Below are 27,641 nucleotides of genomic sequence, written 5' to 3' on the forward strand. Positions count from 1 at the left end.
ATGGAGAAAATAATGCTTCCTACCTTGTAGAGTAAATGCAAGAGTGTATACTAAGGTCTTCATTTTTGGCATTTGCTAAGCCCTCATAGTTGCTACAACTATTATTATTAATTTTGAACTAGGTTACAGAAAAACAACCCGGTGAAGAGAAAGATCCCTTTATAGGTGGAAGAGGGAGGGGAAATAAATAGAAACAGAAGAATATAGACAATTGCCAAAAATATTTTCACAAGATGTGCATTATTCCCAGTGACTATAACTGACCACTGGTCTCTTTAGGGGCTTATTTCTTGCCAGCCTGGCACCACATGGCTTGAGCTTCATTCCAGTATGTTCTCAGTTCCTCCCACTTGAACGTGCCTAAGGGAAATACCAGAAGGAAATTTTTGTGGCCACGAAGAGTCTGGGTGTCTGGCAGTAAGGCCAGTGTCTTAGTCAGCTCAGGCTGCCTTAACATAGACTGGGTGGCTTACAAACAATAGAAATGTATTTATCACAGTTCTGGAGGCTGGAAGTCCAAGATCAGGGTGCTGGCATGGTTGGGTTCTGGTGAGGCCAGATGGCCAACTTCTCTTTGTATCTACACATGGCAGAGAGCAGAGAGGGAAAGCAAACTCTCTTGTGACTCTTATAAGGGCACTAATCTCATTCATGAGGGTTTCACCCTCATGACCTCACCTAATCCTTTTTTTTTTGACTGTATATCATCATCATCTAATCATAATTATCTCCCAAAGGACTCATCTCCCAAGGCCATCACATGGAGCTGGTAGACTTTCAACATATGAATTTCAGGGAGACATATTTAGTCCATAAGAGCCATTAATATTTTCGAGTACCAGGGAGCTGGGTCTGCAGAACTAGAGGTAAACCACAGCTTGAATGCTGTGGCCTCCTTTTGTTTGGCAACTCAAGGACGACTCATGAGGATGGCCTCTACTTCTAATTGTGTCCCAGAATTGTATCCTTTCTTAGTAACATAAACGTTGACTTTTAGCTGTACACATGTGGTCACCTCCAATTAGGATTACATTTTTTAAAGCCCTTTTTTGCTGAATGTGGTCATATGACCAAGTTCTAGCCAATGAGACAAAATGAAACGTGACTTCTGGGAGGTGTCCTTAAAAAGAGGAGCATGCTCTTCTTTCCTCTTTTTCCTTCCTGTTGGCTGGAAAATAGATATGATGGCTGGGGCTTAAGCAATCATCTTGTACCACCAGGTAGAGCTGCTTATTATGACAGAGAAATAATAGAAGGAGCCTGGCTTGGAGGAAGCTGCCCGAAACTTTCAATGGAGTTGTGTACCAAAGAGAGAGCTAAATTTCTAAATTGTTTGTCACTCGAATTATTTTTGTCATGTGTATTTAAAGCTAAAGGAGTGACTTTGGTAAGGTTAAATGTCTGCGGGTAAACTTCATTTGCACACTGGGACTAATAATACTTACCTTAGCCTAATGCTAAGGTTACAGCAAGTTAGTCATAAATCTAAAAGCAGAACCTAGGAATCTTAATGTCTCAAGCTTCTAAGCTCACTAGTGTTTTTGACAAAAGTCTTGGACCTTAGATACAGTGTACCTCTTTCCATTGGTAGCTATTGTAACAAATGAAGCAAATATAAATCAGGATATATTTATGTTATAGAAGCACTCTGCTCCAGAGCCTCATTCAGGATCTACCTCCATCATGAGACCTTCCTGCCCATTAGGCCTACAGTGGGTCATCTCACTCTGAGTTCCTACAACACACTGCAGGCTTTACTCTTTTTTTTTTGAGACGGAGTCTCACTCTGTCGCCCAGGCTGGAGTGCAGTGGCGCAATCTCGGCTCACTGCCAGCTCCGCCTCCCAGGTTCACGCCATTCTCCTGCCTCAGCCTCCCCAGTAGCTGGGACTACAGGCGCCCGCCACCACACCTGGCTAATTTTTTGTATTTTTAGTAGAGATGGGGTTTCACCGTGTTCGCCAGGATGGTCTCCATCTCCTGACCTTGTGATCTGCCCTCCTCGGCCTCCCAAAGTGCTGGGATTACAGGCATGAACCACCGTGCCTGGCCAGCTTTACTCTTAAATGTGGTCCCCAGGTATCTCTCTGGTCTGTGTCTTAAATTAGATGGTAACCTCTCAGAGGGCTGGGTGTGCATCCAAAGATCCATCATAATAATGAACATTGTGCAAGGCGTAGAAGGAGGTGCATCAAAGTGCTTACTAAAAATGGATGAAAAGATTCTATTCTGAAGATGAGATGAGGAAAGAATCCTCTGGATTATATAGAAACACAGATATATATATATATATTTCTTTTTTTCTAGATGGAGTCTCGCTCTGTTGCCCAGGCTGGAGGGCAGTGGTATGATCTTGACTCACTGCAACCTCCATCTCCCAAGCAATTCTCCTGCATCAGCCTCCCGAGTAGCTGGGATTACAGGCATACACCACTGCACCCGGCTAATTTTTCTATTTTTAGTGGAGATGAGGTTTTGCCATGTTGGCCAGTCTGGTCTCAAACTCCTGGCCTCAAGTGATCTGCCCACATCGGACTGTCAAAGTGCTGGGATTACAGGGGTGAGCCACCGCGCCTGGCCAGAAACACAGATATATTTGAAACTGGCATTTCTAGTTAGTACTAAATATTTGAGGCCTTCAGACCTCAATCTGTGATATAAAGTATTAATTTTCATCTACTGAAATATCCCATTGCAAATAGAAGTCCCACAAGACAAGGAGTATGACTGAAACTGGACAAACCAGATGCCAAGATAGTCAGATTATTTTTGGACCATGAGTCTGGCCTCCAGGGAAAGAAGAAACTTGTCAATTTTACTTTTTTTGCTTGGATCAGAAGATTAAGCCTGGCAGAGAGATACTGTTTGGGACTAGTGGTTCTCTGGAATTCCTAACCTTCTCTGGGCTTGGGAGGAGTTGGGAGAAGAAAATGCATCATCTGAATGATGGCCATGGTTACAACAGGCCTCATATGCCAACCAGAGGGAAAGAAAATACTTGCTGAGCAGAGTAACTGGAAAGCAGTTGCTCATAGTTTGAACTAAACTACATGATTGAAATCCAGAATAATGTAGATTTTTGGACCAGTGAACACTTGGAAATAAGCTTTCTGGCTGGAAAGCAGCATTTGATGTTAGGGATGGAAAGGGCTATTGCAATGCTTTTTCCCTGGGCACTTTGTGCTGCCAGATACTCAGGGCCATCTGAAGCATATTTACTTACTCCAGCAGATTTCTCAATAGTTCCAGCAACAGGAAGGAGTTGACCAGCTTGATAGGTGAATGTAGCCAGGTGGTAGAGTCAGGAAAAGCCTGTCACACTGCTGAGCCCGATGGTAACAGTTCCATCCTGTTGAGCCCCTGGAGGGTGAACACTTAGGTGGACACATGGATATTGATGTCAGTGCTGCACAGGGCACGGTACTGGACAAGTGTCACAAGTCCAGCTGGGCAAACTCCAGGATGCCAGGTCACAAGGGCTGTTTCCAGGAAGGGCTGACCCCTGATGTTTACATCCTTTTCCTCTGAAGCTCAGTGGAGCTCACCAGTCTCAGTTCACCTTGTAGGCCACTGAAGAAATTCCCAATTAGCACAGAGGAACGTCCAACCCTATGGGATTTGAGACTGGAGATTGCAGCCATCACATGATGGAAGCAGAATTAGACTCCAAAAACCTTGCCTTGAGTCTCGGCGTCTCGGCTCTGTCATTTGCCAGCCAAATGAGGCCAGGCAAGTCACAATCTCATGGAGTATTCACTTATCTACCTGTAAAGTAGGAATGTCTGACCTATTTCAGAAGATTGTTCTGAGGATAAAATGAGATGAGGCATTTGTCCTGTCCTCTTCAAATGCCATATTGTGATACTTTTCACTTAATTATTTTAAGGGCTTTAAAGACTCCATCTCCTTTACTTTTGACAACATCTCATGGCAGGGGATACTATTTTTATCCCCATTTTACAGAGAGAAAAACGGGACCCTGGATGAGTCAAGTGACTTCTTCAAGCTTATACCACTAGGTGGCAGACTCAGGATTTGAACCCTGCTGTACAGCTCCAGAGTCTGTCTGACCAAAGCACTCATTCCCAGTGGAGGAAAAGATAGACCATTCTTTTAGAAGTGCGCTTCATTTTTGTTTGGAGAACCACAAGTACTTTGTTATTGTTCCAGCATCCAGTCTGAGCTTTCTTGTCAGAGGGCAATGGGGAGAGGGGAAGTCGTTTAAGCAGGGAATGGTGAGTTCCGGTTTGCTGCTTAAAAGGATCACTGGCTTCTAAATAGCGAATAGACACACTGGCTGCCGTGTGGAGGTTGGATGGGGCCAGTGTGGAGAGAGGGCAAAACTGAATTCAGGAGTCAGGTGCGAAGCTGTTTCATGGAATCCAGGAGAGAAGCCCTGAGGGAGCAGAGCTAATCTTAGGACCTCTCAGACCAGATAGGGAGGGGGAGTGTGGCACTGATGCTTACAATCAAATTATAGAAAAGAATCCCTCCCTGCGAAGTAGCCCATACTGATGGAAGTAAGCACTAAAGGTTGTTCTCCACATAAGGAGATCGCTCTGGGTTTCATTTTGCGCCCCCCCGCCCCCTTCCCTGTGATTTCCTGGAGATGTCAGTCTCACTGAAGGCAGCTGAGCACCTTGCTCTGTTGAGGAGCCGGTGTGATGCAGCTGTGACCATTCCCAAGATGGCCTTCCGGGGATGGCCCTGGGCAGAGCCCCCCAACATCTGACTGAAGCTCCGCTGAGCTGTCCTCTCCAAGAGGGTCGGGCACCCGGGAGAGATCTCCTCTCCTTGTTCTACCCCATCTCTGGGATCTCTGCATCCTCAGACTGCCGCCTCCTCATCTATACTTTTCCTCCTTGTCTCCCATCAGGGGACCAGGGCCTCTCTGCCCGCCTCTTCCAGAGCTGCTGGGCTATAGAGAGGCTGCCCCTTGCCCTCCAGTTCAGAGGGGGAAGCTAGGATGCCTGAGTTCCAATCCTGGATCATACGGACCATAGGGCTGGGAGATGTGTGTGTGTGTGTGTGTGTGTGTGTGTGTGTGTGTGTGTGTGTGTGTGTGTGTAGGGGGTTACCGTACCCAAGAGGCCCTCCCCAGCGGCCAATGCCCAGCACACGCTTCACCTTGTCCCTTGCGACTTCTCCCGGGGCAGCCGCTGTGAGACTCAGGATGTCACCTCCCAGGGAGAGTCTTTGAAAGAAGTGGATGCTCCCATTCCCCACTCCAACGCCACAGCCCACCCTGTGCGGGTCATCCAGCGACTTCCCAGTTACTCTTCCCAGATGCAGCAGGGAGGCAGATCTCTCGGCGCCTTCGTGTCACAGCATTCTCATCTGATAAATGGGGCTAGGAGTATTTTCCCTGCCTACTTCACCAGGATGTTGGGACAATCACGAGCTTGAGCTAAGAAATATACATGCTTAAGGCATTATTATTAGCCAGGTGAGCCTTCTGGTGGGTGCCGGCTGCTGGGGCTCTCTCAGGCTTCCTCGGGCAGGAGTGCCGGGAGAAAGTTACTCTTTATCCCACTCTCTCCCGGGGCCTACTCCCGCGGAGCTCCTCGGCGGGGGGTTGACCACGAGTGGCTCCTCTTGCCCCTCTCCCATTGGCTTTCACCTGCCAGAGGGTCGGCTTCAACAGGCCTCTTGGCCCGTCAATCAGGCCCGCCGTGCTCCGCCCCGCCCCTCCCGGGGGTTTATAACGGGAATTCCCATGGCCCGGGCTCAGGCGTCCAACCTGCTGCCGCCTGGGCCCCGCCGAGCGGAGCTAGCGCCGCGCGCAGAGCACACGCTCGCGCTCCAGCTCCCCTCCTGCGCGGTTCATGACTGTGTCCCCTGACCGCAGCCTCTGCGAGCCCCCGCCGCAGGACCACGGCCCGCTCCCCGCCGCCGCGAGGGCCCCGAGCGAAGGAAGGAAGGGAGGCGCGCTGTGCGCCCCGCGGAGCCCGCGAACCCCGCTCGCTGCCGGCTGCCCAGCCTGGCTGGCACCATGCTGCCCGCGCGCTGCGCCCGCCTGCTCACGCCCCACTTGCTGCTGGTGTTGGTGCAGCTGTCCCCTGCTCGCGGCCACCGCACCACAGGCCCCAGGGTAAGTGCGCCCCCAGCTTTGCGCCCACCTGCGGAGGGAGGGGAGGTTGCTTCCCCCCTCATCCCTGAGGGAAGGAGGAGGGGGAAGAGAGATGTCAGAGACCTGTTGTCCTCTGTCTACTACCAGGTCCCCTGCGGGCTTGGTGAAGTTGCTGAAATATTTTTTTTCTCCCATTGGAGCCACCACCACTCTCCCTTTCTTGACCCACCATCCCTCCCCTGTCCCCGAACTGTCACTGGTGGGTTTTCTTTCCCAATCTCTTCTCTCCTGCATTTTGCTCAAGACCCTCAGAGGTGCCTCCTGCGTCGGAGAGAAGCTCGCTCTCCGCTCATGCAGGGCTTCCCTGTGGTCTCACGCTGGCGCCCGGTCCAGCGCGCTGGAGTTGTTGGCAGGCGGCGGGGGTTGGGACGGGGGCGGGTGCAGCTCTGCCTGGAGAGTTTTAGGTTACCCGCGAGCCACACAAGGACCTTGTGTTGTTGTTTTAAAAAGCGATCACTGCTCGTAAAACCCACAGCAGATAATTTTAATGTCACCTCCTGCCGGGCAGGCACTGGAAGAGGGTCAGAGGTGGGGTACTGTAAAGAGGTGGGAGGGGAGAGTTGCGCAATGTTCAGGGGTCTCTCCCCCTGGGTTCAGTGCTGGGAGGTTGAATTACTCGTTGAACCTTGGTCTGATTGGAGTTTCTGAACGACATGAAACCTGCCAATTCTGTGCACAGGACAGATTGTCCAGGGCATTGTAAAATCTCCTGGAACCGACAGTATTGTGTTCATTTCTGGTCTAGATTATCCCCGCAACACCCCCCACCAATTGGTCTAATAAAGAATTTCACTGCCTTGAAACATGTACTATTAAACGACCTAGTGGTTCTTTTGACCAAACTTAATCCAGGCAATCTCTGGCCAAGCATCAGTTTATGTCAGGGCAATTGACTCTTAACTGGCAGCCTGAGAGTCCATGTGAAAGTAGCTAGGATCTTTGTGAAAACAAGGTTGGCTCAACCAACTCGTGCTTTCTTTCTTGAACATCCTTGGGCCTGGCCCTTTACCACCTGTTCAGATTGCAGGTTGTTTATTCATAGCTTTTACTATATGAGAATCATCTTTATAGCTGTCGTGTGGAGAAAAAGTCTTGCAATGCTTGACAAGTCTTAATGACTGCCCAGATGCTGGGTTGATTACATCCAAGCCCAGGTATCACTGTGAGATCAGATTTGCAGCCATTTAGGAAAGAAAAGTGTTTGTCCCCGTGTTGGGCCAGCCCTTGCTTTTATGACCAGATGTGCAACAGCAGCAGTTAAAGTGTGGCAGATTAGATCCAGGGCGTGTCATAAATCCTCGACAGCAGGCATTCCCAAAGCTGGGGCAAGTAAGGGCTCCAGGAGTGACTTTTATGGATGCAGATGAGGATGCCTTTTAAATGAAGCTGCTTGGTTTGATATTAGGACTCAGAGCTCTTAAACTCTGAGGTCAGGCGAGCCATGCGTTCCCTCCAATAATTAGGAACAGTCAAGACAGAGATGCAGACCAGAGCACCCCGACTGAAATCTGGATGGCCGCCCACAGGAGGGTCGAAAGGAGAGAGGCCCTGAGACAAATGGTGGGGGGCTCGTTTGTTTGCTGCTGGGCTTGTCTAGAGTCTCAAGCCATATGGCTCTCCTTCCTGGCCTCCTGGAATCAGAGGAAGCAACCTTTAGGGGAAAGCTAGGGACTTGAGGGGAAATCAGGCACCGTGGTTAGGTTCCTTCCAGCTCCTCTAGTTTATTAATTTGATAGAAGTGATGGAACGTAAGCAGGAATTGTAAATAGGCTGGTGTATGTCCAAGCTGCTTCACACTCTCTCTCTCCTTCTTTCTTTTTTTCCCTCTTTCTCTCTCTCACTCAAATACATACATGCACAAACACACACACACATGTGCACACACATCTTGGTGTGTTTAGAAAGTACCAAGGAGAAGGTGCTGTCTCGAGCATGTGGTTACCTGGTTGTGTTTATAGATAACAATAAGAGCTACCACTTATGAACATCTGGGCTGGGCACTTTACATGATCTCTTACTCGAACGAGAACAAGAAGTTGGGTCTTTTAAAAGCCATTTTACAGATGACAAAGTGAGACTCAGGGTGGCCAATCGACTTGCCTGAGCTTCCAGTTTATATGGATTGAAAAGTTGTGTGCTCTCCCCACCACCAGGCAGCTATAGTGAGTGTTCATCCGAGTGATGCTGTTTCTGTTAAAGAAAGAGATGGCTCGATGAGAAATACAGAACCCGGATACATCAGGGGAGTCTGCAGAGAAATTGTTAATATTTTTTTGGTGTCTGTATCACTTAAGGCAAATGACTGAATTTCAACCTATCCCCAAAGACTCCAGTTCTTTTCTATGGCTTATTGGGGGCCTCAAAAGTGTAGCTCTGGTTGTTGAGAGCGGCGTCATCCGAGGAGCAGAAACATCTGGCTTGTTGCATTATTCCCTGTGGGCGCTCCTAAGTCTCTTCTGTTAATCTTTTGAGTGACAGAGGCTTAAGGATTGGCATCTTTTCCAGCTGGCTTTCTAGGAAACCAAGAGCATGCCCTTTCAGTTTAACTTTATCTGGCTCACTAATTGAGCTCCCCCGAGGCCTAGACCCCAGTCCTCGCCCCCTTATTTGCTTCCTGCCTTCCTTCATAAAATTCTTGACATTTGTTTGACTCTGGAAACCAGCGGCTATCGAGTATCAGATTGGAGGCTATTATGTAGGAAGCACCTGATTTTGGGGTCTCTCAACTGTGAGTGGTTGCTTGGCTAGCTGGGACGTTGGTCAGGATTCTTTTAATCACTGAGGAGGCAGCCGTTTCTTTAATCCTGCACAATTTACTGAAAATGTTTCAGGGGAGGATGGGATGGGGGAGGGGCTCTCCCTGGCTGATGGTGTCTGGCCGATGGTCAAGCCAACTGCCTGTCTTTGTTAAATTCTGTGTCTCCCTTGAAGATGGAAAGCTGGGTGAAGGCAGGAACTGTTTCTGTCTTGTCCAGGGATTTATCTCCAGAGCTCAGCAAGGGGCCAGACACCTGTCAAGATTTACTTTGTTGGTACTGATGGAATGAACAAATAAATGCAGATAATGTGTGTTTGAGAGTGATTACAGGTTCCACTTTGACTGGAGGCAGGAACTAGATTTAAGAAGTGTGAGAAATAGGAGATGATGCGAAGATCAAGAGGTCTGAGTCAGAAATGGATTTTTATTTTTTAAATTTGACAGATAGCATTGTATGTATTTATTGTGCACAATATGATGTTTTGAAGTATATATACATTATGAAATAGTTAAATCTAGCTAATTAATGATAGCATTACCTCGCATAATTATTATTTTTGTGGTGAGAGCACTTAACATCCACTCTTTGCATTTTTCAAGGATACAATAACTTGTCATTAACTATAGTCACTTTGAATAGATCTCTTGAATTTATTACTCCTCTCTAACTATAATTATGTACCCTTTGACCAACCTCTCTCCTTTCCCTCTCCCCTCTTCCTTCCTCAGCCTCTGGTAACCACTGTTCTACTTTCTACTTCTATGAGACCAATTTTTTTAGATTCCACATATGAGTGAGATTATGCAGTATCTGTCCTTCTGTGGCTGGCTTACTTTTCTTAACGTCCTCCAGGTTCATCTACATTGTTGCAAATGACAGGACTTCATTCTTTTCTGTGGCTGAATAGTATTCCTTGTGTATATATACCATATTTTCTCTATCCATTCATCCACTGATAGACAATTAGGTTGATTTCATATCCTGGCTATTGTGAACAATGCTGCAATAAACATGGGAGAACAGGTATTTCTTCAACATACTGATTTCATTTCCTTTGGATAAATGTCCAGCAGTGAGATTGCTGGATCATATGCTAGTTCTGCTTTAAATTTTTTGAGGAATGTTTTTACTGTTTCTCATGATGGCTGTACTAATTTATGTTCCCACCAACAGTATGTGAGAACTCCCTTTTCTCCATATCCTTACCAGCACTTGTTGTTTTTTGTCTTTTTGATAATAGCCATTCTAACTGGAGTGAGGTGGTATCTCATTGTGGTTTGAATGCATTTCCCTGATGATTAGTGATGTTGAGCATTTTTTTTTTTTTTTTTTTTTTTTTTTTGAGACGGAGTCTCGCTCTGTCGCCCAGGCCGGACTGCGGACTGCAGTGGCGCAATCTTGGCTCACTGCAAGCTCCGCTTCCCGGGTTCACGCCATTCTCCTGCCTCAGCCTCCCGAGTAGCTGGGACTACAGGCGCCCGCCACCGCGCCCGGCTAATTTTTTGTATTTTTAGTAGAGACGGGGTTTCACCTTGTTAGCCAGGATGGTCTCGATCTCCCGACCTCATGATCCACCCGCCTCGGCCTCCCAAAGTGTTGGGACTACAGGCGTGAGCCACCGCGCCCGGCCGAGCATTTTTAAATATACCTATTGCCCATTTCTATGTCTTCTTTTGAGAAATACCTATTCAGATCTTTTGCCCATTTTTTCATTGCATTGTTTTTTGTTTTTTTTGCTATTAAGTGATTTGAGTTCTCTGTGTACTTTGCATATTAACTCCTTATCAGATATACAGTTTGTGAATATGTTCTCCCATTCTCTAGGTTATCTCTTTACTTGGTTAATTGTTTTCCTTGGTGTGTAGAAGCTTTTTAGTTTGGTATAATTTCATTTGTCTATTTTTGCTTTTGTTGCTTGTGCTTTTGAGGTCCCCAAACCAAAGTCATGGAGCTTTCCCCCTATGTTTTCTTTTAATAGTGTCATAGTTTTGGATCTTACATTTAAGTCTTTAATTCATTTGAGTCAATTTTTGTATATGGTGAGAGATGAGGGTCTAATTTCATTCTTCTGCATGTGGATATCCAGTTTTCCTAACACCATTTATTGAAGATTTTCCTTTCCCCATTGTGTGTTCTTGGTACCTTTGTTGAAATCAGTTGTCTGTAAATGCGTGGATTTATTTTTGGGCTCTGTCTTCTGTTCCATTGGTCTATGTGTCTGTTTTTATGCCATTACCATGCTGTCTTGGTTCTATAGCTTTGTAGTTTATTTTGAAGTCATATAGTGTGATGCCTCTGGCTTTGTTCTTGTTACTTTTTACTTTGCTTTGGCTATTCAGGGTCTTTTGTGGTTCTACAAAAATTTTAGGGTTTTTTTTTCTATTTCTATGAAGAACATCTTAGTATTTTTATAGGGATTGCACTGAATCTGTAGATTGCTTTGGGAAGTATAGACATTTTCACAACATTTGCTCTTCCAATTCATGAACGTGACATCTCTTTCCATTCATTTGTGTATTCTTCAACCTGAAACTTATTTCTTAAATGTTTTAGATATTTGTTATTTCTTCTCTCACCTCTTGATCACTTGATTCATCCTTCAAAACCCAGTTCCAACATTACTCTCTAGGAACTTTTCTACAGAGCATTCTTTTTGCTTAGGAACGATTACTCTCTCCTTCGAACAACTTCTTTTTTTTTTTTTTTAAGGAAAATTTGTATTATTTTAATTATTTTTATGTACAGAAAACTCAACAGTGTACATTTAACCCAGTTTAGTGGCAAGTTCTTTAGCCTTTGCCTTTTTGCGCTTGGCGATACGAGCCACAGACTTAGGACCCAGGACATTGCCACCCCAGTGACGGCGGATCTCATCGTATCTGTCATTGTAATTGGTCCTGATAGCTTCCACCAGCTTAGCCAAAGCGCCTTTGTCTTCTGAGTTCACCTGTGTGAAGGCGACAGTGGTGCAGGTCTTCCTGTGGACTAGACGTCCCAGTCTTGCCTTCCCCTTGATAATGCAGTAAGGGACCCCCATTTTACGACATAGGGCAGGCAAGAAGACAACCAGCTCGATGGGATCCATGTCGTGTGAAATCACCACCAGCTGAGCTTTCTTGTTCTCCACCAAGGTGGTGACAGTGTTAACTCCTGCTCGAAGGACAGGTGGTCTCTTCTTCGGGACGTCCCCTTTGCCAGCAGCTTTCTTCTCGGCCCGGGCCAACAGTCTCTGCTTCTTCTCTTGCTTTGTCTCTGGCCTGTACTTGTGGGCCAGCTTAAGCAGCTGAGTAGCTGTTTGGCGGTCCAGGGCCTGGGTGAACTGGTTAATCGCAGGAGGCACTTTCAGCCGCTTATAGAGGATGGCTCTCTGCCGCTGCAACCTGATATAGCGGGGCCATTTCACAAAGCGGGTGAGGTCTCTTTTGGGCTGGATGTCCTGTCCAATGCCAAAATTCTTAGGCCTTTTCTCAAACAGGGGATTCACCACTTTCTTAGCCTCCTGCTTCTTCACGACAGCTGGGGCCGGAGCCACCTTCTTTCCCTTGGCCTTCTTTCCTTTCGGCATCTTGGGCAGCGGGAGGAGAGAGCTCCTTTGAACAACTTCTATATCTGGTCCACTTGTATTCTAACTTGTATTAATCCTCCTGCAGTGAGCATCTTAATATCAGGCCAGCATCTTCCTCTTCTTTGCACCAAGTTGGCCCTTTAGCATTTCATGCATGATCTGTTTTGTTAAATGAACAAATCTGCAAGCCCCTTGAGGACAGAATAGAGACCTCATTCATCAGGGTGCTTGTCACATTGTAAAGCATTCTGTAAATATATATTGAAATGAAGTGGACTGCATAATGATGTCCAACCTGAACCCCTGCTGTTGTTTAAATCTGAAATTGGTTACTTACAAACTGGCTTTTCCATTTTTGAGTTTTTGTTCTTTGTTTAAAAATAAGTGTGTTTGGTAGTTACAGGAAGGCTGGGGGAAGAGAGACTCAACATGCGAATTTGAATAGGGAAACTGGCTTTATAGCTCCTCCCCAGTCCTTTTTTGTATCTTGCATTTGCCAAGAGTGAAACAGCTTCTAAACTGTTTCCTTCCATTTGACTAGCCCATCCCAGCATCTGGTCCAGGGTGGGTCCTTGTGTCTGCTTAGATGCTTTTCCTATTATCTGTGCCCCTGACAAGAATCCTTCTTTTCCATATGGGGGGATTTAGCTGAAGTGCTACTGAAGTGTTAGGCCAAGGACCAGATTTAAACATTTTGGTAGAGCTGACATGTGAAATTTATAGAAACAAAAGGACAGGAAGAGGAAACAATCATCTTAGAATCTCTAGGAAATGCAATCAAAATAGAAAAGAATTGATATGATCTAATTATCTTCTGAAGTTGAGTATTCACATTTCTTATGGCCCAGCAATTCCACTCCGGCTCTATGTGCCCAGGAGAAACTCATGTCCTGTGCAACTATGTTTATAATATCACATGCCTGGAAAGAGCCCAGATGCTCATCAGTGGGAGGGCAGATGAGTAAACTGTGATGAATTCACAGTGTAAAATTATACTCAGCCAAAACAAGTGAACAACAGTGACATGCAAAAATATGGATAAATCTTGGCAATATGATATTAAGTGAAAGAAAATTACCAAAAGATACAGTAACTTATAAATAACTAAAATTAAAAAAAAGTTTTTAGGACTACATACAGCTACAACAAAATGCTATGAAAAGCATAGTAAAGTAATGATGGATACAGATTCAGGGTGAAGTTAGGGTGAGGCAGGGGGATAGGATGGGTAAAACCATATGGTTGGTGTGGGTTGGTGTTGATACTCTACCTTTTTGGGGGAGAGGGAGGATGGGCTAAAGGCATTTGTCCATTATTCAAGATCTAATAGCTGATAAAAAAGTGAGCCCTGCATAAACCAATGCTGAGTGTATCATGAGCCAAAGATTAAAATTAATTCAATTCTTTGCATGTGAGGTCAAACAAAAAGTCCCAGAGTAAGGGACTCCTTTCTTGCCACCTTCTGCTTCCTCCCCACCTTTCAAGATGTGCATGTGGCTCTATCTAAAATAACCCCACTGGGGAGTGATTTTGGCTTCTAGACCCAGAGCAGACCCAGGCCCTGGCATAAACGTCTGCATCAGGTGGCCTAAGGGCTCATTTGTAAAGCTAAGCTGGCAGTGGGCAGTCTTCCCTTTTCCTTGCTCAGGGTGATTCACCCTGCAGAGTGGAAGTGTTCATGAGCTGATGCATGGGTCAGAAACTTTATTTGCCAGTGGGGCCTGTGGGTGGAGGTAGTGTCTGGACTAGGGGAAGGCCTGTTTCTAGTTTGATGCCTGTCTTTATTCCAACCTCCCCTCACCGCCTTTTGCAGGAGCTGGGGGTGGGATGCATGGTCCTGCTTAGCAGGTACAGGGCACCCTTTCTCTCTGGGCCACATAGAGATTTATTGTTTAGGCAGCCAAGTCCTGGTATTGCTGCTAGTGGTAGAGGATGTCAGTGTGGAGGGCCCCCTCCTTCCATGTTTGGGGAGGACAAAGGTTGAGTTGCGGATGAGAAATAAATCGGAGCTGCTTGTGAGGCCGCCAAACAGGGTTAGATTTGTACAGTATGTGCTCTGCATGGGTCATGAGTCACTGAGAGGTTCAGAGATTGGATTGCCATGAATCACTTCCAACTGTCCCCATGAAGACCCCAAAGCAACATAGGTGACTATAGGGTTTTCTTTTGCATCCAACATCATTCGGAATTCAGTTGCTAGATCACAAAATAATCTTACCTTTGGCCACATCTAAGCTTGTTAGGTATGGAGCTCTGCATACTTCCTGGACGTCACCTTGGTTGATTTCAGCATCCTTTTTTTGAGTCAGAATGGGGCAGCCTCTCTAAGACAGGAAAGGTAGCTCTCATCTCAGTAGAGCCTTTCCCACCACCAGGGAGCACTGGGACTGAGCAAAGTTCCATGAGGTCAGGCATAATGTGTTTTGAAACCTGACAAATTATCTAGAGGTTTGAACAACTACGCCTCGCCTCCTTAAAATCTATTTTACACTACGGTGTTGATTGGATTCTATAAGATAAGGGCTGAAAGCCTTTTTTTTTTCTTTTAAAGTATTGACAGTGGAGAAAAATTGGACCTGCTTCCCAGAGTGGTTTATTTTTAGAACTAGATATGCATTCTAAGGCAGTGCTGGGAGTTTTAAATAATTTTTATGGATGTTCATTATGCATTTATTCTTGAAACTTCTGCCAAACCCCTGGGGAGAGGACACATTGTAGATAACAAATAAAAGAGTGAGATAGGGAGTGTTATAAAAGGACGTGTATTACTCCTTCACTTCCTCCTTCCAAAGTGCCAGTGACCTGCTTAAAAACGATGATGCCAGTGACTTCTCTTCATCCACAGAACTTTCCACAAGGATGGACATGTTTTATAACTGCACTGTCCAATATTAGCCACATGTGGCTATTGAATATTTGAAATGTGGTTAGTACACTGAGGACCTGAATTTTAAATTAAATTAAATTAATGTAAATATGAATGTTAATAGCCACATGTGGTTGGTGGCTATCATATTGGACAGTGCTGGACTCTGACCAGTGTGTCCAACCTTACCTTCTGCTGGATACCCCCATGTGCCCTAGACCTCAGCAGGGCTGAACCACTGTACTTCCTGATCTCTCCTTCCTTCCCCATTTCTGTCTGTCAGAATCCTGCCCATCATTCAAAAGGTTCAGATGTTACCTCCACGCAGTCCTTCTAGATTGGTCCCAGGAAGAATTCTCTCAGCTTCCTTTAAGCAAAGAATCATTTGCTTACCCCTATGATGGCATGTGTCACCATCTTCCCTGTATCCCAGCCAACCAGGAGCAGCCTCAGCATAGGCTCAGAGGCAGACAGACTTAAGTGTGAGTCTGGCTCTGCTGTTGGGCACCCGGGCTAGTAATCTGGCCTCTTAGGTCCTCTGTTCCCTGATTTGTCCAATGGAGGTCACAGCACCTCTTTTCCAGGGTGGTGGGGAAAATGGATGATGTGCCTTGTATTAGCTTTCTATTGCTGCCATGACAAATGAACACAAACTTAGTGACTTAAACAACACAAATTTCTACAGATCAGAAGTCTGACATGGCTCTTAATGGGCTAAAAAAATCAGCAGGACTGAGTTCCTTTCTGGAGCTCTAGGAGAGAATCTATTTTCTTGCCTTTTCCAGCCTCTAGAATCTGCCTGCATTCCTCGGCTTGTGGCCCCTTCCACCTTTAAAGCTAGCAATCATTGGCCAAATCTTTCCTCATGCTGCCAGGGTCTCTCTGGTTCTGAATTTTCTGTGTCCCTCTTTGCAGTTTAAGGACTCTTGTGATTACACTGGGCCCACCCAGATAATTCAAACTAATCTCCTTATTTTAAGTTTAGCTGATTAGAACAAACCTCCTTGCCCTGTAACATAGCATTATTAGGATTAGCACATGGACATCTTTGTGGGGAGCGTGATTCTGCCTACCACATTCATTAAGGGCCTGGTACAGTGCCTGGCTCATAGAAAGTGCTTTACAATTGAAGCCATCATTATGACCAGCATCTGTTAGTTTCTTTCCTTTAGGGTAGGAGCCTCTTAATGATGAAGTCGCTTAATTTTCTTTATAGACTCCATCCTGCCCGAAAGCAGGTGCTTAATAAATGTTTATTGAATAATAGAATTTTCAATAAAGGTAGATATGTCTTTCCTTATAAAGATATATTGGATAGTAAAAAGTAATATGCAAAAAAGGGAATAGATGATCCCATTTAGGCAAAAAAGAAAGATGGTTTATGTGTTAAAAAATTAGGTAGATTGTATGTCATGCTGTTGGTGGTGGTGATCATGGGGATGTTCAATTTCCAAGAGATGCATTTTGGTAACTATTAACACAATTTCGTTTACAATGAGCATCTTTTAATCTTAGAGCAAAATAATAAAGATTAAAACATGCATGATTGAAAAATGCCCCCTAAACCTGCCTCAGCCCATCCTGATTCCTGAGTCACCCTGGCATTCAGTCTACATCTGACACAATTGGCCTGTATTCACGTTGGGCTAACTTTTAGGGCTAGTAACTATTAGTGCCAGGACTGCTCATTTTCAGCATACTTTGAGCTCAGACTGCTTTAAAGGAGAGTTTTCAATTAACCTCAGCAGGACATAACTGTAAAAAATATATTTATTGCTGCTGGTGGGAATATAAATTAGTATAACTTTGTACAATTACAGTTGAAGTTGTACACACTCTTTGACCTTGTAATTCTGCTCTGGTACATACCCTGGAGAAATTCTAATGTATATGGAGAGATAAGTTCGAGACTGTTCATAGCAGCATTTTCTGGTGGTGGTAAAACATGGGAAATTAGCCAAATGACCACCAACAGAAGAATAGAAAAATAAATTAAAGTATATACAAATAATGAACTATTACACAGTACTGAAAATGACTAATCTAAAGCTGTACTCATTATTGCAGATGAATTTCACCAATGTTGCATGAAAAAGGCAAATTGCAGAATAATACATAATGCTATTTTTTACATAAAGGTTGAAAGCATGCAAAAGCTATATTGTTTAGATGTAAAAAATGTAAAATAAAATTAAGAGCAGTGATGAATGCTGTGTGGAGCTCAGGTTAATTGTTAAGTAGGGCAAACTGGAATATGTCAGGGGACACATAGAAGGCTTGGATTGAATGGTAATATTGTTTGTCTTTAAATTGGGTGGTGAATACATATATTCTTAAATTCCTTTTTGTATATATTAAGGAATACATTATACATTTTTCATAAGATATTAAAATACATTTACATAGAGCACAAACAGGGTTTAAGAACAAATATTAAAAGTGATGCTTCTGGAAGGGGTTCTCAGCTGCATGAAGCTGAGCATGACTTTCCTTTCATCTGAAGGACAGGCTCAGGGGTGTTTAACCGAAGTTGCAATCCCTCTTCCCTCCCTACCCCCTGAACTGCATCTGCTGGCGTCTCCCTCCTACCCTCCTCAGGGCCAGGAGGGGCTGCTGCTGCCTTCTCCCGGCCTGTGCCTGCCAGCGTTAGTGCTCGTCTCTGCCCTCCCCAGGCCTCTGCTTGCCTGTCATCCTTGCCCTCCCTGGATGATCATGAATGAGGTTCTTCTTCATCTTCTCCAAGTTATTCACCGTCGGTTTAAGATTTCCAAAGTCGGAAAATAAAAATACAGAATGCCCAGGTAAATTGGAATTTCAGATAAACGACAAATTATGTTTTAGCATAAGTATGACCCGCATAAAAATTATTCATTGTTTATCTGAAATTGAAATTGAACTGAGTATCTTTTATTGTATCTGCCAATCCTAAATTAGTTCCTTTCTTTTGTAAATTACCTGCCCAGGGTTTTGGCTAATTTAAAAAATAGGGATGGTAAGTTTTTAAAAAAAATACTGAAGATATTAATCTGTTTTTCTGTCAAGTCTGGCAAATGCCTGTCTCAGTATGTTATATGAAAGGACGAGGGTTTCAATCCACTGAACTTTTACATGTTTATGTGGCTAATCTATTGTTATGGTTTCTGTCTTTGGTGTCAGGCTGAGAAAGGCCTTCTACTAAGATTATAGAAATTAGGGTGAATAAATTTCTAGAGACTTGGGTTGCACAAGCAGCAACAAATGCATGACACACTGGTCACCGATTAATGTTTGCTGTAAGTTTCTCTAGTATGTTCTGAATGGAACTTCTAAATGTAATCCTTTGGAGAGCATACTTGTTCCATGCTTCAGAAATTCCAGTAACATTTGGAAAGAAGATATGCCAACTGGAAGATTCTGTGAAGGTAATTGGGGAAATTTATTTAAAACGTGTTGGTAAGCAAGCTGTATCGGAAATGACACTAGAACTTGGCAAAGGACTTAGACTGTCCATCTTTGGGTCCTATCTAGTCATTAAATTTTTTTTTGTTGTTATGAAAACTTCCAAATATACACAAAAGGAGAGACTAGTACAATGGATTGCCATGGACCCCTTACCCACATTCGACCATGAACCACTCATGGCCAATCTTGTTTCTTCTACCAGTCTCCCTATTCCCTTGCTCAGATTATTTTGAAGCAAACATCTCCCTATTCCCCTGCTCAGATTATTCTGAAGCAAATCTGATATTGTGTCTTATCATCTGTACATTTTCATATATATCTGTAAAAGTTTAGGATTCATTAAAAATCCTAACCATGATACCATACCACAACCAAAAAATATTAGCAATAATTCTGTAATATAATACAATCAAATAATCAACATTCAAATTTCCTTGATGATCCCTTAAATATGCTATTCTGTTTCTTCGAATCAAGGTCCAAATAAGGTCCACATATTGCAATTGGTTGATTTGTCTCCTAAGTCTCTTTTAATCTATGAGTTTCTCCTCTACCTCTTTTTCACTTTGTAATTTATTTGTTGAGTAAACAGGTCTTCTGGAGTTTCCGCACTAGATTTTGCTGCCTGCATTTCTTTTGCATTTTGTAACATGTTTCTCTATCCTTTATATTTCTCGTAAAATGATAGTTAAATCAATAGGTTTGATCAGGTGTAGGTTTGATATATATATTTTTAAGTATATTTCATGGGAGTTGGTGTGTGCTTCTTTCAGGAGACATACAACATCTGTGATGTTAGCACCCATTGATGATCATTGCTAGACCTGTTAATTCACTGATTTTTAAACAAGTAACAGGCTCTACTGAAAAGAGATTCTAACTTTCGGGAGGCATTGCCATTATTTTCCTTGTCTCTGGTGTTGCCATGGAGGGATAGAGAAGGGGGTTTAGTGCTAAAGTTCCCTTCTCAAGGCTCTGTCAGTGGGGAGGCTGCATGCGATTGCAAAGCTCTGAGGGGGAAACTATGCCCTGAGTTCTTGGTTGGTGGCCTTGGGAGGGGAACCACCTTGGTTTCTGGTTGAAGTGGTAAGAGCATAAAGGAGCTGGTTTTACTTTTTACTGCTAATTGGGAGGTTTTTTGGATGTAACTATAGATTTGCTTTTTGTGTGATCTTTGGTATATTTATATCAGTTGGATATTTATGTTACAAGAAACAGATAATGCATTTTGAACTGGCTTATACAGTGAAGGAGATTCATTGGCTCAAGTAGCAGAAAGTACAGAGGTAAGACAGGTGCCATGGGCTGAATTCTATCTCCTTCAAATTCATGTGAAGTCTCAACCCCTAGGACCCAGAATGTGATTGTATTTGGAGATAGGGCCTTGATGAAACAATTAAGTTAAAATGAGTCTGTTACGGTGGGCCCTTAATCCAGTCTGACTGGTGCCCGAATAAGAAGAAGAGATTAGAACACAGAGAAAAACTAGGGACATGATTGCCATGTGATAAGGCAGCAAGAGGGTAGCCATCTTCAAGCTAAGGAGAGAAGCCAGAGAGGAGACCAACCCTGCCAGCATCTTGATCTTGAACTTCCAGCTTCAGAATTGTGAGAAAATAAATTTCTGTGATTTAAGCTACTCAGTCTGTGGTATTTTGTTATGGCAGCCCTAGCAAACTAATACAGTGACTTTTAGAGGTGGTTTGATTCAGTGGCTCAGTAGCATCATCAAATATACAGTGTCTTTATGTAGCTTCCCTCTGCCTTGTGTGGTGCATGTTTTATCCCAAGTCCAGCTTTTGTCATGGGGGCAAATGGCTGTAATGGTTCCATCCTTCCTATCTAAACATCATCCTTTCTAGAAGAGGGAAAAGAGAATTAGCTTTCAGTAGCTCTCTCAGAAGGTGGAGAGTCTTCATTCCTAGATGGTCTCAGGAAACTTAGCCATTCTTTTAACCAATCCCTTTGGCCAGGAGAATGCCATGCTCGACTTGGGCCCAGGTTTCTTAGACCAATCACTGTGGCAGCGGTGGGAGATAGGGTTACCCATTTCTGGGACAAGGGGTCAGGTTAATCCTGTTAGCTTCTCCTGACCACATGGCTACTGGACAAGGTAAGAGAGTGGAAGGGATGCTGGAGCAACAACCACAGGATTTGTGTTGGGATCTGTGACATTTGGAGACAAGTGGAATGGTGGGGTGGGCTGTGTGGTGAGAAGGGTGATGGACGTGGATGGTCAGAGCCCGGAGAGGGGGCTTCCCTCTTACTGCATGACCAGTTGCTTCATCTATTAAGGGGATTAAATGATTTTCCAGGGTCCTCCCAGTGCAGATGTTCCAAGAGTTGGAGCTGACAGGAAAAAGGAAATATAGAAAGAGTTTGGAAAATTTCAGAATAGAATAGATAGGCCATGTGAAGATGATTCCAGAAAGCCCAAAATAAGGATAATAGGCCCGCAGTTGAAAGATTCCCATAGATACCTACATTTTACAGATGTTTAAGGACTATCCCCAGTGCACTTGGCCAGCTAGTGGCAGAGCCAGAGCCAGCTTCTAGATATGTCCCTTTATTGCTCTGTGCATGCCTTTTCCTTTCAAAGATGCCCTGGAACACTTGGAAAAGTGGCACAATTCCAGCTATGGGGAGGAAATAGCTTGAATTTTTGTAGAGGATTGTGTTTCTAAGTTGGCTTTGGCCAATTCACCAATTTCCAGTGGTTGGGAAAGGTGACCAAAACCTCAGAACATGTGGAATCTTCCCCGTCCTTGCCACCTGACTATGCATGCATTTCATAGCATTCTCATTTCCTGAAAAGGGGTGAGTTTCTGGTTTCCGCCAGTGTCGAAGGTTTCAGTTAGGAAATGTGAAGTAGAGCTGATAGAACAAGTAGCCAGCGATTCTGTTTGAAGAAGTAAAGGTAGATCTTGGTGTAGGACTCTTGATGCTGGTTAATAGCAATGAGATCAATGTAAACATCCACCCAACTGAATGGCAAATGCTCTGCAGCAGTGAGAGCATGTTTGATCTGAAGGTCGACATGATAGTTTCCTAGGTGGGTTTTAAAATCAATACCCATCTTGAGAGTAGAAGTAGAAACCCTTTGTTTTTGTTGAGGAGGGTCTGAAAGTGACCAGGGTCCTCCTTCTTTGGATACTTTCTCCCTGCATCTCTGCCAGTGACTTCGGAAAACCTTCGGGAAGATTGACAGCTGAAATGAACAGAGATCAGGATGCATCATTCCATACTTCTTGTCTTCTCCCTGGCTTTGAGGACCATGTAACTTTTCCTGGTGGTATGGCATTGTACTTTCTTTCCCCCCATCAAGGTAGAGCCTTAGGAAAAGACTGGGCTCACAGCCTTGGTCCCAATATTGCTGATTCCCAGTTTGTACCTTTTTTTTTCCTTCCTTCTCTTTTTTTCTTTTTTTTTTTTTTTGAGACAGGGTCTTGTTCTGTCACCTAGGCTAGAGTGCAGGGGTGCAACTGAACTCTTGGGGCTCATATGATCCTAATGCCTTAGCCTCCTGAGTAGCTTGAACTAAGATGTGCCTCCACACCTGGCTAATTTTTAAATTTTTGAAGAGACACAGTCTTGCTATATTGTCTAGGCTGATCTTGAACTCTTGGGCTCAAGCAGTCTTCCTACTTCACCCTCCCAAAGGGCTGGAATTACAGGTGTGATCCAGTGTACTTGGTCCCCAGTGTGTACCTTTCTTTTCTTAAAGCCGCATCTACTTTGTGAATGAAATTCACCTCCCATCTCAATGCTGGAGGATAGAAGTCTGAGCTAATACCATTTGACTAGCTGCCTGCTTTCTTGCCTACCTAGAGGGCAGTGTAGCATAGTGGCTTGGGGTCAAAGAGACCTGAGATTAGGTATCTTTCTCAGAAAAGCCACTTTCTAGCTCTGCCACTTTCTAGCTGTGTGTTCTCGGGCAAATGAACTAAGCTCCATGCTTCAGCTTCCTCTTCAAGAAAAGAAAGATATTATTTAACTCACTGGGTAATTGAGCTTAAATGAAGTAATGGTAGGAAGCTCAATAAATGTTAACTATTCATAAAAATAATAGCTGTAACAAGAAAATATGAGAGATCCCTGTAAGAACCCAAAATTAGATTTCCCCCTTGGAACTAAAGCTAAAAGAATACCATCAATACATTGAAAATTTATAATCTGTGGTTTTATTCCCTTTTGTTTATAAATAAAGCTCATTTTTTGTGTGCAATAAATCAAATTCCTTCACTTTCCCAATCTGATATAGGTCAGGAGGATCCTTTTAAATGGAAGTCAGTGGAGGGAGGATGTTCCTTGGCATGGTCTTCCTCCATGTGCCGTGTGGCTATGGCTTCTCTTCCAGGCAACTGGACGCTCTGTCTTTCTTGAAGTCTCTTTTCGTTTTTCCCTTTTCCTGGCATGGTAGGCTGTTTTCCTGACTTCAGCATCTAAAGGAAGCTTGAGTAGTCCTGATCACCTTCTCCATATTTCTCTAAGACGGTGAGGAATCATAGGAAGTCTGTGAGACTGTGAGAAACAGTTTTGCCATTAGGAGGTAAGTGGAAGGTCCTGCTGATTGATGTGCCCTCCTCATGATTTCTGGGATCAGGGGTCAGGCTAGTGACTGTTCGATATGTTCCCAGATGTGATCCAGGAACATTCCATGGAACTGGAGGGGCAGTGCCTGGCTTTTCTGGCCCCCCCTCCTCTCAACCCACATGAGCCTTCCCCTTGTCTGGGGGTTGGAAAGCCAATAAAGGCAGAGCCTGTTGTGTAACCACACACCATCCCGCCAGGTCTCTTTCAGAACTGCAGTTCAGAAACAATAACTCCTTGCTGTTAGCATGACTTCCTGGAGGGATATTTCCAGATAAGGTGGCTTGGGCCAGCCACACCTACTTTTTTTTCTTCTAAGTACTTTTAATTTGTATATTTGAACCATTTATATTTAAAGTGATAATTGATGTAGTTGAATTAATATCTACTATATTTGCTACTGTTTTCTACTTATTGCTCTTGTTCTTTCTGCCTATTTTTCTCTTCAACTCATTTTTCTGCCAGTTGTGTTTTTAATTGAGCATTTTTAATGATTTCATTTTCTCTTTTCTTAGTGTAGCAATTATACTTAAAAAAAAAAAAACTTTTCGAAGTGGTTGCCCCAGAGTTTGCAATAAACATTTACAGCTAATCCAAGTCCTCTTTCAAGTAACACTGTACTACTTCATGGGTAGTGCAAATATCTTATAATAAAGTATTCCTAATTCCTCTCTCCCATCTCTTGTATCATGCTGTCATTTATTTAACTTATATGTAAGCTATACTCATGGACTACATTGTTGCTAATATTATTATTTTGAAAAAACTATTATCTGTTAAATTAATTGAGAATATAATAAATACAAGTTTTAATTTTGCCTCCACTTGTTCTTTCTCTAATGCTCTTTCTTTATGTAGATCTGAGTTTCTGAGCTATGTTTTTTTTCCTTCTCTCTGAATAACTTCTTTTAACATTTCTTACAAGGCAGGTCTACTGGCAACAAGTTTCCTCAGTTTTTATTTGCCTCAGAGTCTGTTTCTCTATCACTTTTAAAGGATAATTTTGCAAAATACGGAATTCTAGGTTGATGACTTTTCCCCTCAACATTTTAAGTATTTCACCACACTCTATTCTTCCTTGCATGGTTTCTGAGGATAAGTTGGATATAATTCTTATCTTTGCTCTTCTATACATAAGGTGTATTTTCCTTTGGCTTCTTTCAAGATTTTTTTCTTTATCTTTGATTTTTTTTGCAGTTTGAATATGATATGACTAGGGTTTTTGTTTTTTGCAATTACCTGGCTTAGTGTTCTCTCTGAGCTTTCTGGATCTGTGGTCTGGTGTCTGGCATGAATTTTGGGGAAATTCTCAGTCACTATTGCTTCAAATAATTCTTCTGTTTCTTCCTTTCTTCTCCTTTTAGTATTCCCATTATACATGTTATACCTTTCATGGTTTTCCCAAAGTTCTTGTATATTCAATTCTGTTTTTTTTTTCCAGTCTTTTTTCTCTTTGCTTTTCAGTTTTGGAAGTTTCTATTGCCATATCCTCAAGCTCAGAGATTCTTTCCTCTGCCATGTCCAGTCTACTAATGAGCCCATCAAAGGAATTCTTCATTTCTTTTATAGTGTTTTTGATCTCTTGCGTTTCTTTTTGATTATTTCTCAGAATTTCCATTTCTCTGTTTATATTACCTATCTGTTCTTGTATGTTGTTTACGTTTTCCATTAGAGCCCTTAGCATATTAATCATAGTTTTAAAAAAATTCCTGATCTAATAATTCCAACATCTCAGCCATGTTTGTCTGCTACTCATGCTTGCTCTATCTCTTCAAACTGTGTGTTTTGTTTGTTTGTTTGCCTTCTAGTATGCCTTGTAATTTTTTGTTGAAAGCCAGCCATGACGTATTGGGCAAAAGGACTTGTGGTAAATAGGCCTTTAGTGATGTGGTGGTAAGATGTGGGGGGAGGAGAAGCATTCTATAGTCCTATGATTAGGTCTCAGTTTTTTGGTGAGCCTGTGCCCTTGGGCTGTGAACTTCGTAAGTGCTTCTCAGTGTTTCCCCCTACCTTAGGTGGAGCATGATGGCTAGGGTGGGCTGGAGTTTATTTCCCTTCTCCCAGGTAGGTTAGTCTCTGATAAAATCCCAACAGATTAGGCTCTGGTAAAATAGTTTCTCCTGATGGCAAAGGCCTTGTTACGGGAACAGAATGCTTTGCTGTGGTTCAAAATGGCTGCCTTCTCCCTCTTCTGCCGGAAGGGTTGGGATCTGTGTCTCTACCCGAGTTTCATGTTCAATTGTAATCCCCAGTGTTGGAGGTGGGGCCTGGTGGGAGGTGATTGGATCATAGGGTTGGATCCTTCATGAATGATTTAGCATCATCCTTTTGGTACTATTCTCGTGACAGAGTTCTCATGAGATCTGGTTGTTTAAAAGTGTGTGGCACCTTCCCCCTCTGGCTCTCTTCCTTCTGTTCCAACTTTGTAAGATGTTCCTGCTTCCCTTATGCCTTCCGCTATGATTGTAAGTTTTCTGAGGCCTCCCCAGAAGTAGACACCACTATACTTCCTGTAGAACTATGAGCCAACTAAACATTTTTCTTCATGAATTGTCCAATCCCCAGGCATTTCCTTATAGCAATGTGAGAACGGACTAATACAAATGGCAAGGAGATTTTTCTTTGATATTCACTGTGAGAACCAGGTAGGGCTCCTGGAGGTAAAACTCACTAAAATGTGGAAGTCCCCCTAAGTCTAGGTGCCCTTGCAGTTTTTGACCCTCAGACTTATTCCTCCTGAGCCTCTGGCAGGTTGTCAGTTACAGTTTAGGCTTTCCTACCTAAACTGTTGAGGTTTAGATACCGGTTTAGGTTTTCTTACCATACTGGTTCCTGTGGAGATTTCTGCCCTGGTAAGCTGTGATTCTCTGTATCTGCCTGTCTGTCCAATTTTGGGGGCAGTGGTTTGCCATGTGAAATGAGAATTGTTGATTTTCAGTTTGTTCAGCTTTTTACTTGTTGTTAGGATGGACTGGAGGCTACCAAGCTTCTTACATACTCGCCATACCCATTTCTATTCACTCCAGACACACACAAACAGAGTGTGCTCAGTGGTGGATTATGGAAACTTTTTCACAGTTCCTGCTCATGTGGCTGTGCTTTGCTAAAGTTGTCAATGCAGAGGGAGGCCTAGGAAGAGAGGAGGAAGGCCCACCTGTGCCTCCTAGAGCCAGCCATGTGGGAAGCAGCCACCCAACTACCTAGTCCTTATGGGATGTGGCTGAGGGTAGGGAGTGTGTGTGCCATTTATTTCATGTTGAAACTCCTAGCAAAGAACCCGGCACAGCGCTAGTGTTTTCTGCTATTCAAATCAACACGTTCTACAAAAATTTATTGAGCTACTGCTATGTGCCAGCTAGTGTTCTAGGCACTGGGAAACAAAATACAACAGGGAACGAGATAGTCCCTCGTTTATGGAGCAGTACATAATGGACAGCACTTATAACACTTATCTGGCTCTTCTTATGTGCCGGGTACTTTTCTAAGCCCCTTTGCACATACTAATCCATCTTATTCTGATGACAAAGACATTATTATCATCCCATTTTACAGAGGAGAAAACTGAGACACACAGAGATTCATTGACCTGAGATGCTTACTTCAGGCAGCAGGGTGTTTACTCACAGCTTAATAATGTGCTGGAAGGTGTCAAGAAAACAAACATGTTCTTGCCTATCCCCAACACCCAAAGGCTCTCCTGTTGTGTTAATTATGAGAAACCTGATAACCAGGCATTCCCTATTGCTAAAACAAGGTGAATTGCACTTCTCCATCATTGTGCTTGCCACAGCTGATTAAACTCATGGCCACATGCCACAATGGCCTGGTCTAGCATGACCTTTAGTCATGCCAGCCTGTAACTGGCCATTATTAGCAAAATCTTATCCTCTTCTTCGAGGACAGATTTTTCTTACCCTCTTCTTGTTTTTGGGTTGGAGCTGCTCCTTTACTGACATGAAATTGGGAATCTCAACTGGGCAGCTGCAGTTCTAAAAAGATGATGTCCAATTCCATGGAAGACCAAGTCTTAAGGGTCACATGCAACTGCTATACCATGTGATGAAATTTAAAATGAGAGATATCTTTTCTCAGCTCCTTCTCCCATACTCAGGAGATGTCCAGGAAGATGAAGAGAAGTGCTATAGCATAAATTAGTAATAGTCCATGAGGGTCCAAAGAGAAGGGCTGCTTGAATTGTTAAGGTACATTTGCCCTCTGACCATCTTTGTTCAGGGCCTGAAGCACAGCTCTAACCAGGAGGTGCATTTTGACTCATTTCCTCACTCCTTTG

At 43.6% G+C, this 27,641-nt stretch overlaps 1 protein-coding gene and 1 pseudogene across 4 annotated transcripts in view, besides 1 other annotated feature; one reads left to right on the forward strand and one right to left on the reverse strand.

The window, feature by feature from the left end:
• The window catches only part of SMOC1 (SPARC related modular calcium binding 1), a 152,951-nt gene continuing 131,038 nt past the window's right edge, over nt 5,729-27,641 (forward strand). For all 4 annotated transcript variants that reach the window (NM_001425244.1, NM_001425245.1, NM_001034852.3 and 1 more), the window contains exon 1: nt 5,729-6,090. In NM_001425244.1, the coding sequence (NP_001412173.1) occupies nt 5,992-6,090 (99 nt within the window). In that variant the 5' untranslated portion in view covers nt 5,729-5,991. The remainder of the gene's footprint in view (nt 6,091-27,641) is intronic.
• Nucleotides 5,827-5,916: a silencer, noted in NCBI's record as "silent region_5883". NCBI's record gives its function as "represses an Ori minimal core promoter by ATAC-STARR-seq in GM12878 lymphoblastoid cells {active_cell/tissue: GM12878}" and the evidence as "EXISTENCE:reporter gene assay evidence [ECO:0000049][PMID:35858748]".
• Nucleotides 11,595-12,475, reverse strand: RPL7AP6 (ribosomal protein L7a pseudogene 6; annotated as a pseudogene).

Source organism: Homo sapiens, chromosome 14, assembly GCF_000001405.40.
Source record: "Homo sapiens chromosome 14, GRCh38.p14 Primary Assembly".
NCBI lineage: Eukaryota > Metazoa > Chordata > Mammalia > Primates > Hominidae > Homo > Homo sapiens.